The 18,323-nt window shown below is 34.6% G+C and overlaps 1 protein-coding gene across 14 annotated transcripts in view; it reads right to left on the reverse strand.

Annotated features, from left to right (window-relative positions):
• The window catches only part of MAP4K5 (mitogen-activated protein kinase kinase kinase kinase 5), a 142,606-nt gene that overhangs the window by 5,599 nt on the left and 118,684 nt on the right, over window positions 1–18,323 (reverse strand). For 9 of the 14 annotated variants that reach the window (XM_047430898.1, XM_047430893.1, XM_006720013.5 and 6 more), the window contains 10 exons: window positions 16,243–16,322; window positions 15,894–15,954; window positions 13,973–13,975; window positions 13,775–13,889; window positions 13,357–13,415; window positions 10,843–10,946; window positions 10,275–10,452; window positions 5,073–5,141; window positions 4,543–4,635; window positions 1,788–1,858 (listed from right to left, as the gene is read on the reverse strand). In XM_047430898.1, coding sequence (XP_047286854.1) covers window positions 1,788–1,858; window positions 4,543–4,635; window positions 5,073–5,141; window positions 10,275–10,452; window positions 10,843–10,946; window positions 13,357–13,415; window positions 13,775–13,889; window positions 13,973–13,975; window positions 15,894–15,954; window positions 16,243–16,322 — 833 coding nt within the window. The remainder of the gene's footprint in view (window positions 1–1,787; window positions 1,859–4,542; window positions 4,636–5,072; window positions 5,142–10,274; window positions 10,453–10,842; window positions 10,947–13,356; window positions 13,416–13,774; window positions 13,890–13,972; window positions 13,976–15,893; window positions 15,955–16,242; window positions 16,323–18,323) is intronic. The other 5 variants (XM_047430897.1, XM_047430896.1, XM_011536377.4 and 2 more) reach the window with 1 other exon arrangement.

An 18,323-nucleotide genomic window follows, 5' to 3' on the forward strand; every position in this document is an offset into this window, starting at 1 on the left:
CTACTTTTAGAGGAACCCACACTAAGATATTGTAGATATAAAGTAAGTTAAAAAAAAAAAAAAGTCTGGTATCAAGGAGTTTGCAGTCTACCTGGGAAAATAGAATTAATAAGCTTGAATCAGAAAATAAATTAGGTGTTATACTAGTTGGAGCTGATTTTTCAGAGTATTAAGTTCAGAGATGTTCTAATCATTGTGCCTGGAATGACTGAGTATTACTTTATGAAAGAGGTCAAGACTTTAGCTAGGCCCAAGTTGAAGGATGAGAACATAAACTGAAAAAAAGGTAATCAAGACGAATTAAAAATAGGCCGGGTGTGGGGCTCACATCTGTAATCCCGGCACTTTGGGAGGCCAAGGCAGGTGGATCACGTGAGGTCAGAAGTTCGAGACCAGCCTGGCCAACACGGTGAAATCCCATCTCTACTAAAAATACAAAAATTAGCTGGGTGTGTTGGTGCATGCCTGTAATCCCAGCTACTCAGGAGGCCGAGGCAGGAGAATCGCTTGAACCCAGGAGGTGGAGGTTGCAGTGAGCTGAGATTGTGCCGCTGCACTCCAGCCTGGGCGACAGTGTGAGACTCCATCTCAAAAAAAAAAAAAAAAAAAGAGTTAAAAATAGATATTTCGGAAATGGAATCAATATTTGATACAGTAAGAAACAAGGACCTTCTGTAGATTTCTAACCATAGGAGTGACATAATGAAAATAGCATTTAAGAATAATTAACCATATGATAATAAGTAGGACTGTAGGTTTCATCAAGTGCAGGGACTTGGTGACATTTAGTGACACGTATCAGTAACTAGATAAACTTATATATTCAAAGACAGCTGATTTATGTCATTTCCTCCTGGAAGCATTCTAATTCTGCATTCATATAAGAGGTAGGAATATTCATTTATATATAAGTAAGAGTGTGGATAAAACTAAAGGTAAATGCAAACAGAAGAAGTTTTTGAGCTTTAAGTAAGTTCACAAACTTGTTAGGCCATAGTTAGAAGAATCACACAAGTATTCACGTAAATGTGAAATGTCTCTGTTAGTATTATCTTAGCTAGTAGGACTCATTCCTCAAATTGGAGGCCCAAATCCCATCTCCTGCATGAGACGTAATTATCTCAGCTAGAAGTGATTTAAAGAGACCCTTCAAATCCAGACTCTTCCACTTCACTAGTTATGTAACTCTGGGCAAGTTACTTAACCACTCTGTAGCTGTAAAAATGGCAATATGAATAGTATCTACTTCTACTGGATTATTTTGAGCCTGAAATAAGCAAATATTTGTAAAGTGCCTGGAACACAGTAGGTATTATTTAAAGTTTGATATTATTTACAATAATAGTGTCTTGAACATAGTTGGTACTCAATAGTTACTAAATGAGTCAATTTTCTTAGATTCCCTTATTCTTATGCTCCATTATGTATTAATTTAGATTTTAAAATATATTTAAAAAGAAGCCAGATATTTATAGATTATGGAAAACACTTAATAAATTTAGAAAAGTTTTACAAGCTTAGCAACCATATTTACAAATTACAAATTAGATAAATGAAATTGCATGAACTTATATTTTGCAATTCCTGGTGGCCACTGAGAATTTTGAACTATGATACAGAAGTGAACATAGTTGAAGGGAAAATACTGGCTTTTTTGTTCTACCAGTTCATAGTATTAAAAGCACTAAACACAGTAATGTAGGTTCAGAGAGGAAATGCATAAAACGAGTGCTTCGACATTTAAAATTGTTAGTGGGAGTCAGTGGAGGTAATCTGAGAAGGCTTACCTCATCTGACTTGAAGCTTTTACCCTGCATCCCATGTTTCCAGAAAGCCAACACACTGTCTTGAAGGCATACTAAAAATGATAAGGGAGAAGTGAAACTAATATAAAGCACAGAGCATTTCACTATAAATTTTCTCTACTTTTAATAAATAATATAAGCCTATTCAAGTGTCTAGTGCAAAATTCCACTGTCTAGACCACGATTTCTCAACATTTTTGTGGCTAAGACATGCCTAAGTTCAAGTAATTTACTGAGGTAGGGTTATGCAAGTCTTCAAAGATACATATAAAAGCCATTCATTTAAACATGAACTAACTTCTGATAAGGTGGATGTTGGCATATTCATTTCTTTCATACAAAAGATACAGTGTATCTTTTGTCTTAAATGAATAAAATCATAAAAACATATATAACTGGGTTTTTGCATTAAAAGCATTGTTGTTTAAATACTGTTACATATTCAGAAGTAGCTTTAAACAAGCATTTTTTATGTTCATATTTTCCCTGTAACAAAAGAAATTTTAAAAAATAAACCTGGCCGGGCGCAGTGGCTCATCCCTGTAACCTCAGCACTTTGGGAGGCCGAGGTGGGTGGATCACCTGAGGTCAGGAGATGGAGACCAGCCTGACCAGTATGGTGAAACCCTGTCTCTACAAAAATACAAAAATTAGCCAGGTGTGGTGGCCTGTGCCTGTAGCCCCAGCTACTCAGGACGCTGAAACGGGAGAATTGCTTGAACCCCACAGGTGGAGGCTGCAGTGAGCCGAGATCACGTCACTTCACTCCAGCTTGGGCGACAGAGCGAGACTCCGTCTCAAACAAAATAAATAAATAAAAAATAAAATAAAATAAACCTGCCCCACAATCCAACATTTAACCACACATTGAATATTTAGGATCTGTGAGTCAATTCTTACATAAAATTCTTAGTATTTAACCATTACAAGTAAGTATTAGAGTTAGAAAAGCATAATTAAAAGTGATGGAGGAAAGTAACTGAAAATTAACTGTTTTATTAGACTATTAACTTTTTGTAAAAAGTTAATGTAAGAATGTTCTGGGAACATAATTAAGCTCAATAAAAATAAAAGTATTTGACAATGACAAATCACATGTGTTTCACTAACTGTGACAAATAAAAAACCTAGTTACTGATTTTATTTTTAAGAGGTGTTGTAAAGGCATTTTTTTTTCCCCAGGAGGATTCCTGTAATTATTCCAAGGTTTACTGGCAAGAAAAGATGGTAGCCTAGGAGGAACAAACTTTTGTGTAACAATTAAAATTACGAAGATAATTTGGCACATCTGAAAAAGTTGAGGTATCAGTGTGTTTCAATGAAAGTGAAGAGGAATTAAGGATTCCTATGTCAGAATCTCTCTCAAAAATGTTAAATCCAAATTGGCATGTAATATAAGGAGTAAAAGAAGAAACTAGTTTCCAAAATTTCTTTTGTCCTGACATTTACAGAAAGTTTAGGTTTTCTGCTTTAATAAATTAAATTTCCCAATCATAAGCAAACTATTTTCATGTAAAATGTCACACAGAGGCACAAACATTTTGTGGATAAAACTCCAATTGAGAAATACATATTAAAATGTTTCTTAAAAATAAAAAACTAAGTAATGAAAATCGTGTTTTTAAAAATATGTAATTATAAAGTACATGTTATTTTTTATGGCCCAAATAAAAATTACCAACTTCATTTTAGTGCCTTTGATTTATGGTAGAATCATATCATGAAATGTTTAAAAATGTTTCCATTCATCATTTTTTTCACAAGTTCTGTCACTCCTGGGGAAGATACTGACATATGATCAATGAGCATGCAAACAATAATAAACTGTAATAATTTTCATCATAAAACCAATGAGTATTAGAGAGTAAAACATTCGTTGACAAGGAAGCAAATTAAATGGCATAAAAGTTTACAAGTCCTGTGAGAACTAGCTATTTATATAAAAATAGTTCCAAAAGCAGTAATATCAACACACACCACCCAGAATCTTACATGGCAAAGAATTATGGCATATCTAACACTGTTATCGCATCACACAAATACCTTCCTGACTGGGAAAGAATTGGGGGAAGTATAATTCACTTAATGCAGCAAAGGGAATAATGAACAGAAATGTTAAAAGTGATTACAAGTTTTAAATATTCAGGAAACAATAAAAGATTTATGATGGTCTGAACCTGCACTGTGCAATATGAGAGCAAGAAGCCACATGTTGTTATTTACATTAAAATTTGAATTAAAATCTAAAAAATGAAAATGTAGCACTAATCATGTTTCAGGTGCTTAACAGCCATATATGTTTAATCACTACTGTATTTAAGAGCACAGATAGAGAACATTTCTATCTTTTTTTTTTTTCTTGCTCTTGTTGCCCAGGCTGGAATGCAATGGCATGATCTCAGCTCACTGCAACCTCCGCCTCGCGGGTTCAAGCGATTCTCCTGCCTCAGCCTCCCAAGTAGTTGGGATTACAGGCACCCGCCAGCATGCCCAGCTAATTTTAGTATTTTTAGTAGAGACGGGGTTTCTCTCCATGTTGGCCAGGCTGGTCTTGAACTCCTGACCTTGTGATCTGCCCACCTTGGCCTCCCAAAGTGCTGGGATTACAGGCGTAGAACATTTCTATCTTTACAGAAATTTCTGTGAGACAGTGCTGGTCTAGACAACCCTAAGTACAGAATGAATTTTAATAATCATTAAGTATCGCAAACTGATTTATGAAAAAAAGGAAACTTACCTACAGATTCAATGCGAAAATCAAAACTTAACTCAGAGGCCAGTTTCTTACTTGATTTTAATTTTCCTTGTAGATTTACAATTTTCACAAATTCTTAAAAAAAAAAAACAAGTCAAGACTGGACATGCAAATCTGCTAAAATAAATGTAACTTGATATATGTGGATTTTACATGGATATCAAATAATATTCTTAATAAAGTTCAACTATTTATCTTGAGTCAGGTATGCCAAATGGCAAAAAATACTGTAAGAGTGCCTCCATCGGCAAATGGCAATTCTGCTATTATTTTTTATATAGTATATACTGAATATTTACACTCTCATTTTTAAAAATGTATGCTTCTTTAAAAATGGCTACCTCGGTGCTCAACTATTTAGCCATAAGAGGTGATTTTTTTCGCTTACAAATTACACATGATAAGTAACATTTTTAGTAAAAACAGTAAAAATCTTGAATTATGGTTTAACAGAATAAAAAAATTGCTTTATCAAGTAGTATACTCAAAATAAAATTAAAAATAGTACTTACTGTCTAAACACACTAAAACGGTATCTCTCTCCAACTGTGTTACATGAATGGAATCTAACTGCTGGCTGCCTTAGGAAGTAAAAAACAAGGTTACAATTATACTTTTAAAACCTAGAGCCTAGAAAATAAACATAAATTCTGACTTTTGCTGTGACTTAAAATTGATCTTTGAAATTTAACACAGAATTTATATTTTGTGATGTTATCTTTCAAAAAATGCATGTAAATCAATTTAAGAGGACAAATATGTCCTAAGCATGGCTAACTCAGCTGAAAAAAACCTCAGTATTGCCTTTAATTAAAGCCTCAGCTAGATCTACAAAGGTGAATCACAAAAATAAAATGAAGCAAAGGTAAAATATGAGGAGGAAAAGTAACATGCATGCTATACACAATGGCTCGATTTTGCTCTGCATTTTATATAGCCAATGGGAGATAGAAACAAGATGAATTGGGTGAATCACAGCAAACCTAAATTAAAAATTAGCCAGTGATTCAAAAGGGCACAGGATCAATGAAATCTATAGTAAGACAGAAATTTTCCTGGTATAGGTATGTGTTTACAGGTGGGTGGGAGTTCTTTTACAAAGAGGACACTGAGTAACATAATGAACAATATTGTCAAGAACATCTTTGCAGGATACAACTCTCATCGTTTTGCTGATATTTAAAGGGCTGCTTCTAACATCTGCTGATAGATGTAATAACATTAAAAATTTTTTTGATAAAACAATGCATTTTAAGCACTCAGATTGTTTCAATGGTCTAGCTGAATCTAAGAAAAGATTTTAGATTATTTAGAGCAGTCCTTTTTTTTTTAAATGTATGTGCTTTTATTGAAGAATTTTAAAAACATCACCAATCAACCTGATTTAAGGAATATAGTGATAATAAATGTACTACACAGACATTTCATACTTCTGAACATATTCACACACACACATATATATATATGAACACATATATACTAAGACAAATACAGAAGAGTCCTTAACCTGAGTTGCTCCATTAGAAGTACTTCTTTCTGATTACAAAATGTCATCTAGGTTACCTTTCATTCTCTTAGAACTTTTAAGAGTTAAACATGCCCAACTACATTCATTTAGCTGTATATTTACAAAGAACTTGGTGACCACTAATTTTAAAGAAAAATTGCTAATTGGCCACTGTGATTTCTAATACAGAACTCTCTAGAGACACTGAGGTCACAAGCTTAGGGCACTGAGACAGGGCCACATTCTTAAAAGTACTTTTCCTAACACAGACGCATTCATTGTATGACTTTTCCTTCAAATGGCGGATTGGGGGCAGGCAGAAAAGAGGATTGCCAAATAGCAGGTATTCACTACCTTTTGAAGTTACCTCAACTTCAATGTGCCCTTTCTGATAGTGCCTTCAATACAGGCACCATTCAGTAAAACAATTCAGTGTAAAAACAATTGTATAGAGCATCTTAGAATATGTTTTTCTATGAAAATAAATTATAACTGATCATTATTATCTAAAAGGGTTTTATAAACTTTCTGATATAGGACTGAGCTACATTTCTAATATTAAAATTAAGAGTTTCTAAGCTCTTTATGTCCTAAATCCAGGCAAGCTGTGACCAAAATTAGGAAAAGTAGAATTAGGGCCTGGTAAAAATTTTGATAGCATCATTCATGACTGTGTGAGGGAAACTGAAAGTGGGTGGTAAAGAGCAGAGCTGTTTGCCGGAGTGAGGGCATTCATAATAACATATTCCTTTCTCTTCTTATTCCTTGAACAGAATTCCTACTTAGAAGCCTAAGAGTCAGAGCCTGCTTCCCCCATTTCCTTGTAAAAAGTACATGTTTCCCCAAGGCCACGGGCAAACATGCAATTGAAGGCGGTAACTTTCACCTAATTAGGAAATAGTGGAAATCAATATAACTTAAAATGTTCTTTGGGTAAATATTTCATTGCACTGATTTATACAAGTTTTCTTTCACATACTTTCATGTTTATAAATGAGATTCAACACAAACATACTGTTTTTAAGTACTTTGCTTATTTTTCTATGGGTTTTATCTTTTTTATTTATTTATTTATTATTATTATACTTTAAGTTTTAGGGTACATGTGCACAATGTGCAGGTTAGTTACATATGTATACATGTGCCATCTGGTGCGCTGCACCCACTAACTCGTCATCTAGCATTAGGTATATCTCCCAATGCTATCCCTCTCCCCTTCCCCCACCCCACAACAGTCCCCAGAGTGTGATGTTCCCCTTCCTGTGTCCATGTGTTCTCATTGTTCAATTCCCACCTATGAGTGAGAATATGTGGTGTTTGGTTTTTTGTTCTTGCGATAGTTTACTGAGAATGATGATTTCCAATTTCATCCATGTCCCTACAAAGGATATGAACTCATCATTTTTTATGGCTGCACAGTATTCCATGGTGTATATGTGCCACATTTTCTTAATCCAGTCTATCGTTGTTGGACATTTGGGTTGGTTCCAAGTCTTTGCTATTGTGAATAATGCTGCAATAAACATACATGTGCATGTGTCTTTATAGCAGCATGATTTATAGTCCTTTGGGTATATACCCAGTAATGGGATGGCTGGGTCAAATGGTATTTGTAGTTCTAGATCCCTGAGGAATCGCCACACTGACTTCCACAATGGTTGAACTAGTTTACAGTCCCACCAACAGAGCAGTCCTTCTTAACTATACCTCTTTGGGAAGCCTATGCATTGTCTCCCTTGAAAACTGCACATTCAAACATAAACACAGAATTTTATATAATATTTTGGGGTGTTTGTGGACCTTCTAAAGCTTATACATGGTGAAGAATCCATATCTACAGAATCGATAAACTGTCCCTCAGGTAACACTTCAAAAATAGTTTTTCTTAGCTACTCTATGTTCAGGCACTCATTCAACAGATATTTACTGAGTGCTGACCATATGCTAAGCACCATCCTTGGAGATAAGGATATAGCAATAATAAATCAGACTGAGCCTAAAAGAGTCTTGAATAGGAGTTTATTTTAATGTTATAACTTGCCAGTTCAAGGTATAGCCTGTTTGTTCAACAATGAACACAGCTAGGAGTTGGATTAACAAATCACTTGTAAAAATGGGGAAACCTAATGAGGACAAAGTGCTGGACTAGAAAGATTGCCTCACCTCTGCCTGAAGGTGACCTCAATGATTACCCTCAGGCAGTAATTTGGGTCTTTACTCCCTCAGGAAGTAATCTGGGTCTTTAAACAGCCTTGACCCCAGGTCAGACAGTAGTTGGGGGTCTGCTTTAATTTTAGCCAAGACAATGTTAAAAGTAGGTAGAATAGCATACCTCACGCATTAAAAAACAAAGCAAACAACAAAACTCTCAAAAAAAAAAAAAAAAAAAACAAAAAAACGCAAACTCAAACATACCCCAAAAGGAACTCAAAAACAGGACTCACTGAACTCTTGCCTTGAACAATATAACCTTCTAATATATAATCCAGAAGAAAGTGGTCGCAAATATACATTAAATAGTTGTATTAAATGACATGCTTTATACCATGCTGATGAGCAAAAAAAAAAAGTTGGGCTGTCAGCCAAAACTTGTCTTTAAATAAACTGATCCATAACCTTTCCTTTGAGCAATAAGAACAGGGAAATATTTCTTTCTTTCTTTTTTTTTGAGACAGAGTTTCGTTCTTGTTGCCCAGGCTGGAGTGCAATGGTGCGATCTTGGCTCACTGCAACCTCTGCCTTCCAGGTTCATGCGATTCTCCTGCCTCAGCCTCCCTAGTAGCTGGGATTACAGACATGCACCACCACGCCCGGCTAAGTTTGTATTTTTAGTACAGATGGGGTTTTACCATGTTGGTCAGGCCGGTCTCGAACTCCTGACCTCAGGTGATCCACCCACTTTGGCCTCCCAAAGTGCTGGGATTATAGGTGTGAGCCACTGTGCCCAGCCTGGGGAAATATTTCTATTTGGGCAGTTTATATCTCACGATAATAAAGCAATGCATTTGTACCTTTTCTGTTAGCTGTAACAGCAGGCATACATCCAACTCAACTTAAAGCATTGATCAATAGACTTAAAAGGCAGAGTGCAGGTGGAGGTAGAAGGGTACATAATGTGACCTCTTCCATAAAGAGTATGTTTTATAGACCAGTGCATGCTGGAGCTGGCTTGTACTGAGTTAAACTTTCAGGAATTTTGTAAGCCAAATGACATCAGGTTGGTAGTTTGAAATTGGCCATGGGTGGAGTATTTGTACCACAAAAATAGGCAACTCTAACAAATGGTTGCACCTCAAGAGCCTGTTGTTAGACATTTACCAGGGTATCACTGGTTCATACTGATTCTTATGTTGAAAGTGAATTTAGCGTAGGTTCTATATTATAATGAGTTCTTGTAACTTAGCCTATAAATGATCAAAAGCCAAAGGTTATTTAATAAGAAGCATTAAGCATCAAACTTATAATATATGTAACAGACTTCTTCAAAAGGCAGTAAAGAATACAACAGTGGTGAGTAATGAAATAGCCATAACTAAAGCTTGCTTGGCATATGTAAAAATGGCCTAATAAACCTGGATTATAAATGACCAAATACACCAGCACAACAAACAGGAAACTAGCAAAATGGAGGCCCCACCTCACCCACTTCACATATTATGCAGATTTAAAAAATGATTTATTGAATGATTTGTTCTAATTTTAAAGTCTAGGAATAAACTTCCCATTTTTTTCAGATCTTTCACTGAGATATGTCTGATTTAAATGGAAAGGCTCGGAAGCAACACCTAAGAAGCTTCTATTCAGGTCTGAAAGCCACATTCACTGATTCTAAGAAGTGAGCGGGGAAGACAGGATAAAACAGGATAAGTGAAGCTCTTTGCTTGAGGCTTGAGAAGTTGATAAAATTTTAAGAACTGCTTAGAAAGTGTATTTACTTAGCAAGTCCAAAGATTCACTGGTAAGAACTAAGACTTTTCACTGTCAGGAATCATTAAAAATTTCCTTTGTTTAAATAATTTGTATCAAACTACCTCTGGCAAATAGAGATCATAAATATACGTACACGGTTCTATGGGCTTACTTGGGAAACTATGTTTTGAATATTTAAAAGAGCCCACACTGGTGTTTTGCTTCTTTTATAGGTGGTGTTTTGCTTCTTTTATAGGCAAAAATATCAATATTCTAACATAAGGTAAAAAATACTTACCTGCACCAATTTCTGTAAACCATGAAGATGCAGAGTTCAAATTGATTGTCTCAAACTGAACTACCTGATTCGATTCAGTGCCTTTGCTAATAGCTACACAGACCATAGGGTATTCCTGTTCAGGTATCACCAGCATTTCAAAAACATTCAAAGGACTTGGCAAAGGAAAATCAAAGTGCTGCAAAAAAAATAAACAATAGAGCCATAATTCAGAAACAATCTCCCCATTCATACCACTGTTGAATAAAGTCAACAGAAAGACTCCTATCTTCTTCATTTATCTAGTTCTAAAAAGGATTACCTCTAAGATGATAAGAAGGATGAATGTTCTATAAAAATGTGTTTTAGATAATTAGCCATATTAATCTTTATGACTGATGGTTCTGGAAGTTTATTATCAGTTAAAGAGTAAATCCTAAGAACACAAAAACCTCTAAATCAAATAAACAACTACAAATAACTATAAATGTTCTGACCCTAGATAGTAGTATTGGGATCTGCTAATTTTAGCTTCAGTTATACACTAGTGTTTTCTAAAGGAAAAAAATGTGAACAAAATAATATATACCTTTATCAACATGAATTTCTGCATTGGCTCATACCACTGAAGTAAAACAATTCCAGACTGTAAAGCTCCACAGAGGTATTTATGTCCCGTGTAAGGGTTTCTGACTGGAAAGAAATAAACAAACAAAAAACCCAGACACACTCAAAATACTGAATACTTTCATTGTATCTGTTAACCAGGATGACAAGAGTGGGCAGAAAATAAAAAAAGACTGTGTCTTTTCTTTTGGCTTCATTGCCTTTTCCGTTTTACTTTCTTATCTCAATTTTAAATTATATATGTTTACTTCTAAACAACTTGCATATACTAGGTTGTTAAACATAAGAACTTTTGACAAGCACAATAACAACCTAACATGCAACCTAAAAAGGTGTTTTTTTCCCTTCCTCACTCCCTCCCGTCCTCCTTCTTTCTTTTTAAAGAGACAGGGTCTTGCTCTGTCATTCAGGCTAGAATGCAGTGGCACAGTAATAGCTAACTGCAGCCTCAATCTCCCAGGCTCAAGCAATCCTCCCACATCAGCCTCCTGAGTAGCAGAGACTATAGGTGTATGCCACCATGCCCAGCTAATTTTTCAATTTTTTTTTTTTTTAAGAGATGGGGTCTCACTATGTTTCCCAGGCTGGTCTTGAACTCCTGGACTCAACCGATCTTCCCATCTTGGCCTCCCCAAAAAGTTGTTTCTTAGTAAACTCAAAGAATGAGTTCTGACAAGGTCTAGGAGGCAACTAAAATGCACCTCGTTTTGGTATAGCAGTGTACAGATGTCTACTTAAGATGAAAATAATTCATCTTGTATGTATTAATTTATCATGATGTAATCTTGACTCAAATCTATAAAAATTCATATTGCTCTTTCCTTCTCCCAAATTTGATTTCCATTAATAATTATAATCATTGATTATAAGAATAGTTATTTGCATTAAACTCTAAAGTATTATTTATGAGTTTTTATCTTAGATTCCAAGTTTCTAGGCCTTTTGTGCATCACAGATCTTGGGAATCTGATAATAGATATTGACATGATTCTCCCTAGAAAAATAATATTTATAGCACATTTGTGGTTAAACATTTTTGTTTTACAGTATGGACTATGCTGTGAAACTATTATGTGGCACAAAGATCAATGTGTAAATTCATTGATCAAACAAAAGAATAAATAGGAAGTTAGGAACTTAAGATCTGAAGTCATTGAACCTGAATCTGATTCCTAAGCTCTGTTACTTACTAGTGACACAATCAGTATTATGGAGTTGTTTAAGGGTTAAATGAGATAATTATGTAGTAAAGAACTTAACCTCACCCAAAAAAGAGGTCTGGTCTCTGTCCTGCTTCTGGGAGGTAATTGCTAAGCCTTTGGAATGTCATGCTTGACAGGACTGTCTTTGTCTGGGGGACTCTGGTCACTGGATAATATAACAATAATGATTCAGGGTGGGGACTGGCTGCACTAGATAGTCTTAATGTGAGGGCTGGTCATGCCAGAAATACAAAAAATGTGATTTTGGGTGGGGGCTTTGGGTCATGTAACATCAGATGACCTTTAGTGGGGCTGCATACTGAGATCAGCAAGGTGGTCAATCAATCATGCCAGAAATACAAAAAATGTGATTTTGGGTGGGGGCTTTGGGTCATGTAACATCAGATGACCTTTAGTGGGGCTGCATACTGAGATCAGCAAGGTGGTCAATCAATCATGCCTTTGTGATGAAGCCCCAATAAAAACTCTGGACATCGAGGCTCGAATAAGCTTGTGGTTGGCAGTGGTTGGCAATGGTTGTGTGTTCTGCCACATACCAATGCTGGAAAAGTAACGCCATCCATTAACCATAGGGAGAGGACAACAGAAGCTCCATGTTTGGTATTTTTCCTGGACTCTGCCCTATGTACTTCTTCCCTTGGCTGATTTTAATCTATATTCTGTCCCTGTTCTAAACGGTAATGATTTTAATCTATATTCTTTCCCTGTTCTAAACGGTAATGATTTAAATCTATATTTTTTCCCTGTTCTAAATTGTAATCGTAACTATGAGTATAACTGCTTCCAGTTCCGTGATACCTTCTAGTGAATTTTTTTATTCTGGGGGTAGTTTTGGGAATCCCCTAACTTGCAATTGGTATCATAAGTGAGGGTGTTCTTGTGTGAACTGTTCCCTCTAACTGCATAGTTGGCTCAACTCCTGTAAACATGTTCATAAAACATGGGTGGTAACTGGTAGATGGCAAATATTAAATAAATGAAAGTTAGAATATTAGCAAAGATACAGCCTCAGGGACTATGGTTAAAAAACTCTAGGAACACTATGCTCTGAGAAAACGCTAAGGTTATTATCTCTAAGCATTTCTATGCCATGTCTGTCTATATTCTTGTACTTCAATGGCAGCTTAACTTCTTACTAAACACAAATTTTAAAAACCTACCCTCCTTCCTATTTGATTCCATACGACTCTTCAGATAATTATAAAGATGTTAAAAGTTCTAACCATTCAGTTTGAGAAATACCATTTACTCACCTATGCAACATTTGTGGCAGCCTTTTGTATCAGGAATCTTTGTTGTTAAAGCGAATTTTCTGAAAACGTAAGACGATATAAATGCACTCTACAGTAGTGGTTACAACACAATGATTTGTAAATCAGTTGCATCAGAATCAGACAGAAAGGAGCTTAAAAAACTGTCTTGGATCCTAACTCCACACTATCTCATCTTATAGGACTGAGGAAGGGCCTGACAGTCTGTATTATAAAACTTCCACAGTTGATTCTCATGGTCAAGTTCAGAAAACGTTCAGCTTTTCCAGATATAATACACTTTAGTTTAAACTACCTTTGAAAATTAAGACATAGTTTTTTACTGGGCAAGAAATACGGGCTATTTTTAAAATAAACACTAATTCCCCTCATTCAGTAGAATCAAAATGATATTTTGTACCTTGGTAGTATTCGGTCTGGAAACCTGTGAGTTTGAATATGGGCAGCTAATCCTGGTTTTTTGGCATGTTCAAACAAAGCTATAAGATTGTGAGAGTAGAGCTGAAAGGTTTTTCCTATAAAAGAAAAACATGTTACCTTTTTGAGAATCATTTACAGCAGAGAAATACAATTTTCGAGAAAAAGAAAACGTAATTACCTTCTAAAACGAGAGTCCAGTAATGTTCAAAAAGCCAAGCAAAATAGAAAAACACACACAAAAAAACCCTCAGTTAATACTATTTTGAAAGACAATAGATAAAATGTTTTTAAATTAACAGATAATTTTAATTCAGAATATATAAATTAGGTACTAATAGGTGATCTGGGCAGACTAAACCTTAATGATGCCAGCACACAAAAAGAAATTGTTGTACAAAATCTTATGTTATGGACTGAGTTACAATGATGTACATGTGATTATTTTAATACAAGATGGAAAATTCTATAAAGCTATATTATTATTTCTCTGGGACAGACCTATTTATCAATAACTTAACAAATTACCTTGGATTAAAAATCATTGTGAATGAAGTCTTAAATATAACAGATGGAAATACTTAAAAAAGTAAAACCAACCAATATTATAAGCCATGATACAAGGATAACAGGGCTACAATTCCATATAATAAAAAATATGGCTGTATTAAGTAAGAGGGATGGATATGGTAAACATCATCTGATTTCTCACTATATATGGTATGATAATATAACAATACAAAACAATATTTATCTTTTTATTATTAGAAAACATACATATATACACACACATATACACAGTTTTATCCTCAACAAAATTATCTGTATGTTCTCAGAACAGAAATATTCTGCCTAAACATTAAACACCCTTCCTTTCTCCATTTCCCCAATCTACATAGTTTGCTACCCAGCTAGCCAGGCAGCTAAACACACATGTACATGCCTCCTATTGGGCGTTGCTATCTAAGATGTACCCTGTGTAATTTTTAAGCTTATTTCCAAAGACAAGTATGAGTAGGGATAAGCAGTAAGAGAGTTAGAGAAAAGTTTATATGATACAATTCATAATTGTCAACTCAAACAGAATTGGCTTTATTTTCATAACAGTAATATAAAATATTAACATATTAATATTTTACCAAACAAAAGTAAAAAAGATTTTGGGGAAGCATAATTAAAATATATTAAATATTCTTTTGAGGACTCCAGCTTTTTAGAAGCCATTTAACACACAATCAAATAATATGCTCTCCATAAACAGTGTTATTAGCTCAAATATACAGATTCTTAAAAAATCTCTACTAGAGAGAAATAATAATTAACTATCTTGTACTCTACTACCAAAATGAAAGCAATCAGCAAACTTCTTGGTAGTCATTTAAATCTAAAATATAAGAAAATATTTTTTTCATAGGTAAGAATTAAAAAAAAAAAAAAAAAGCCTAAAACACCACCTACCCACCCGTTCACCCCTAATAATAACCAAGAAAGAATAAAATGAGGTTACCCTGGAATCTTGTTCAGAAGACCTTAAAGAATCAGTCCAAGATAGTTAATGTGTGTCCAGAACAACATGAATTTCACCAGCAAACATCTGTATAAGACTCTACAGTTTACTAAGCACTCTGGATATTATCTCATTTAACTCTCACAACCTCATAAGGCTGTACTGTTACCCCATCATCCTCATTTTATAATTAAGATAAATGAGGCTGAGAGACAGTGACTTGTTCAGGATCGCAGAGAAAGAAAATAGTGTGATCCTCTGCTTCTTTCCTGTTAATTCCCAAAGGAGGCCAGGAGTGGTGACAGTGATAGTGGAGGAGGCTGAGTGGAAGGGAACGGCCTCTAGTGATAAGCACTGTGATACCCTTCAGGTGTTTAGATGCTGGGTGGGTTTGGAAAGTGCAGCCCTAACTGAAGACAGGATCCCTTCCCAAAGTTTCTTCCCATTCTAGGTGGGTAGCAAATATCCACAAGTCCCAGAGTTACTATATTAGATTATAGTCATCCAGAATTACAAATAACATTTAAAAATGGTGTATATTAAAATTACATTTCTCTGCTTATCTATGGTTTATTTTTCATCATCACATACATACCTGATAATGACATTAAAGTATTATTGATAACATACAGCCAAGTACACTTCCGTGGAAATAACTAAGAAAAAGAAGATAATTAAGATTCTCTCATTGTCATTATTTTAATCTTTTAAATTCCAACATTCTGAAATCATATAAAAATAACTATTTTCTAACTTTCAGGTAATTATCAAACCCTTAAGAAAAAAAATCTTTCAACATGAACATGCAAAGAGTACAATTTTATCCCTTTAAATATTTAAATCATAAAAATTAAAATTGGGGCCTACACAGATTGATTTAAAATTAAGACACTTCTTTATTCAATTTGTTTAAATTAATTTCTTGAATTAAAATGCCTAATTACCTGTTCCATCGTTGCCTCATGTAGCTCATTGAGATTCAGTGTGTAAATACCATCTTCAGTTCCAAAAATAATGTACTGATCTAAAATAGTTGAGATAAATCACCAGAATTTACCATCATCTTCTGAAATCATTCACTAAAATAATGACTTTACATTGTAATGGCATCAAGAATTAGCCACCTATCCATCTAAAATAAAATTATTTTCTTAAATTTGTATCACCTTCTTTACCTCTTTCCCCAATTCCTTTCTTATTTTTTAAAAGCAGATATATTCTATGTTAGACTAACTCACTCTGACTTTATCTTACTATATAACCCTGCCTTTCAACATAATTTTTGTATTTTAAGATTTTTATAGTTACACATTTTTGCAAGACACCTCAAACACTCTTTTGACCAAGGAAACAAAAAGTTAATATAAATTATAAATCACGACACACTAGAAATAATGAGCACACCTAGTATCCAGATCTTGGTTTCTAAATATTACTTTCCACTAAAAAGAACCAGGGCTTCTTAGAGAAAGACTGCTTCCAATTCTGGGGCAATAAAAGTAGATGCTGAGCCTAGAAATCTTGCTGTGCCAGAAAGTAAAGAAGTGCTAAAAAATGATGAGGACATTTCAAACAAAAGAACACAGGCATTCCCACTGCTCAAAAATTCTGGGACAATTTAAGTGTGAAAATAAATAATAGAGATAGATCATATCGCATGGAATAAAATAAGAATTAATAAGTTTAAACTGATATAAATAAACGAATGAATAAGTGGGAAAGAAGATAAACTGTCAATGGCTATCAACAGATTGTCAATGGATGCTAAACTGAGTGAGTGAAATTCTGAATGGCAATAGTATAATTATAAACATAATCTCAGTGCATCTCCATATTAATTACCTATAAATCAGAAAGGAAAAAATAGTAACCTGAGAATGGAGAAGGCTAGTGAACACTGCTTTAACCAACAGATCGATATTAACATCACTAGTATTTGGACAAGCTGATACCATGTATCTCCTGATATGATGTACTGAGAAGATGCACAGTAACATTTCTGTGTTATTCCCATCAAAAATGCATAACCTGATTCAAGCATGAGGACTCATTATACAAACCCCAATTAAGGGACATTCTACAAAATAAGTGGCCTCAAAAAAGTTGACATCAGAAGTTGAGGAATTGTTTTACACTAAAAGAGACTAAATAATAAAAAATCAGCTGGGAGAGGTGATACACACCTGTGGTCACAGCTATTTGGGAGGCTGAGGCACGAGGATTGCCCAAGCCCAGGAGTTTGAGCTGCACTGAACTATGACTGCACTACTGAAGTCCAGCCTGGGCAACAGAACAAGACTCTGTCTCTAAAAAAAAATTATTTTATACACACACACACACACACACACACACACACACACACACACACACACACACACACATATATATACCCCCTCTGTCATACTTTTTAATAGTGGCATTTAAAGCCAATCATTATAACCTGTCTTTATTATTAAGTAGAAACACACATTTCCTGAAATCCTCTACTGCCTAATAGCTTCTGTTTGCTAATTGCTAGACACTGGGGTAGGCTTGTTCCTTCCTTGAAATAAAGTAAATATCGGGAGTGATTCATGTTTCAAACAATCACACTGAAAAGCAGAGGTGTTATGTTTGTTTTCAAAGTCACATGGTAATGACAGAGTGGGAATCCAAACCCAGATTTATTTGATTCCAAATTTTTGCCTCTGAAAATGTTTCCTCACTTCAGAAACATAGTCTACATTTTAAAAAAGTTATTTTAACATCATTTCAGATGTACAGAAAAGTTGTAATAGTACAAATAATTCCTAAATACCTGTAACACAAATTCCACAAATGTTGAACATTTACTACTTCTGCTTGATCCTTCTCTCTTCCTTATGTAAATGTTTGTTTTCTGAGCTGTTTAAGATAACTTATGAGCATGATGCCTCTTTACTTTGAAATATTTGTGTACATTAAGGAAAAAAAGTCATATAACCACAAGACATTAATACTTAAACAATAAACAAGGTTATCTATAATTCTTACTAATTGAGATTAT

This window comes from Homo sapiens, chromosome 14 (genome assembly GCF_000001405.40).
Source record: "Homo sapiens chromosome 14, GRCh38.p14 Primary Assembly".
NCBI classification, from domain to species: domain Eukaryota; kingdom Metazoa; phylum Chordata; class Mammalia; order Primates; family Hominidae; genus Homo; species Homo sapiens.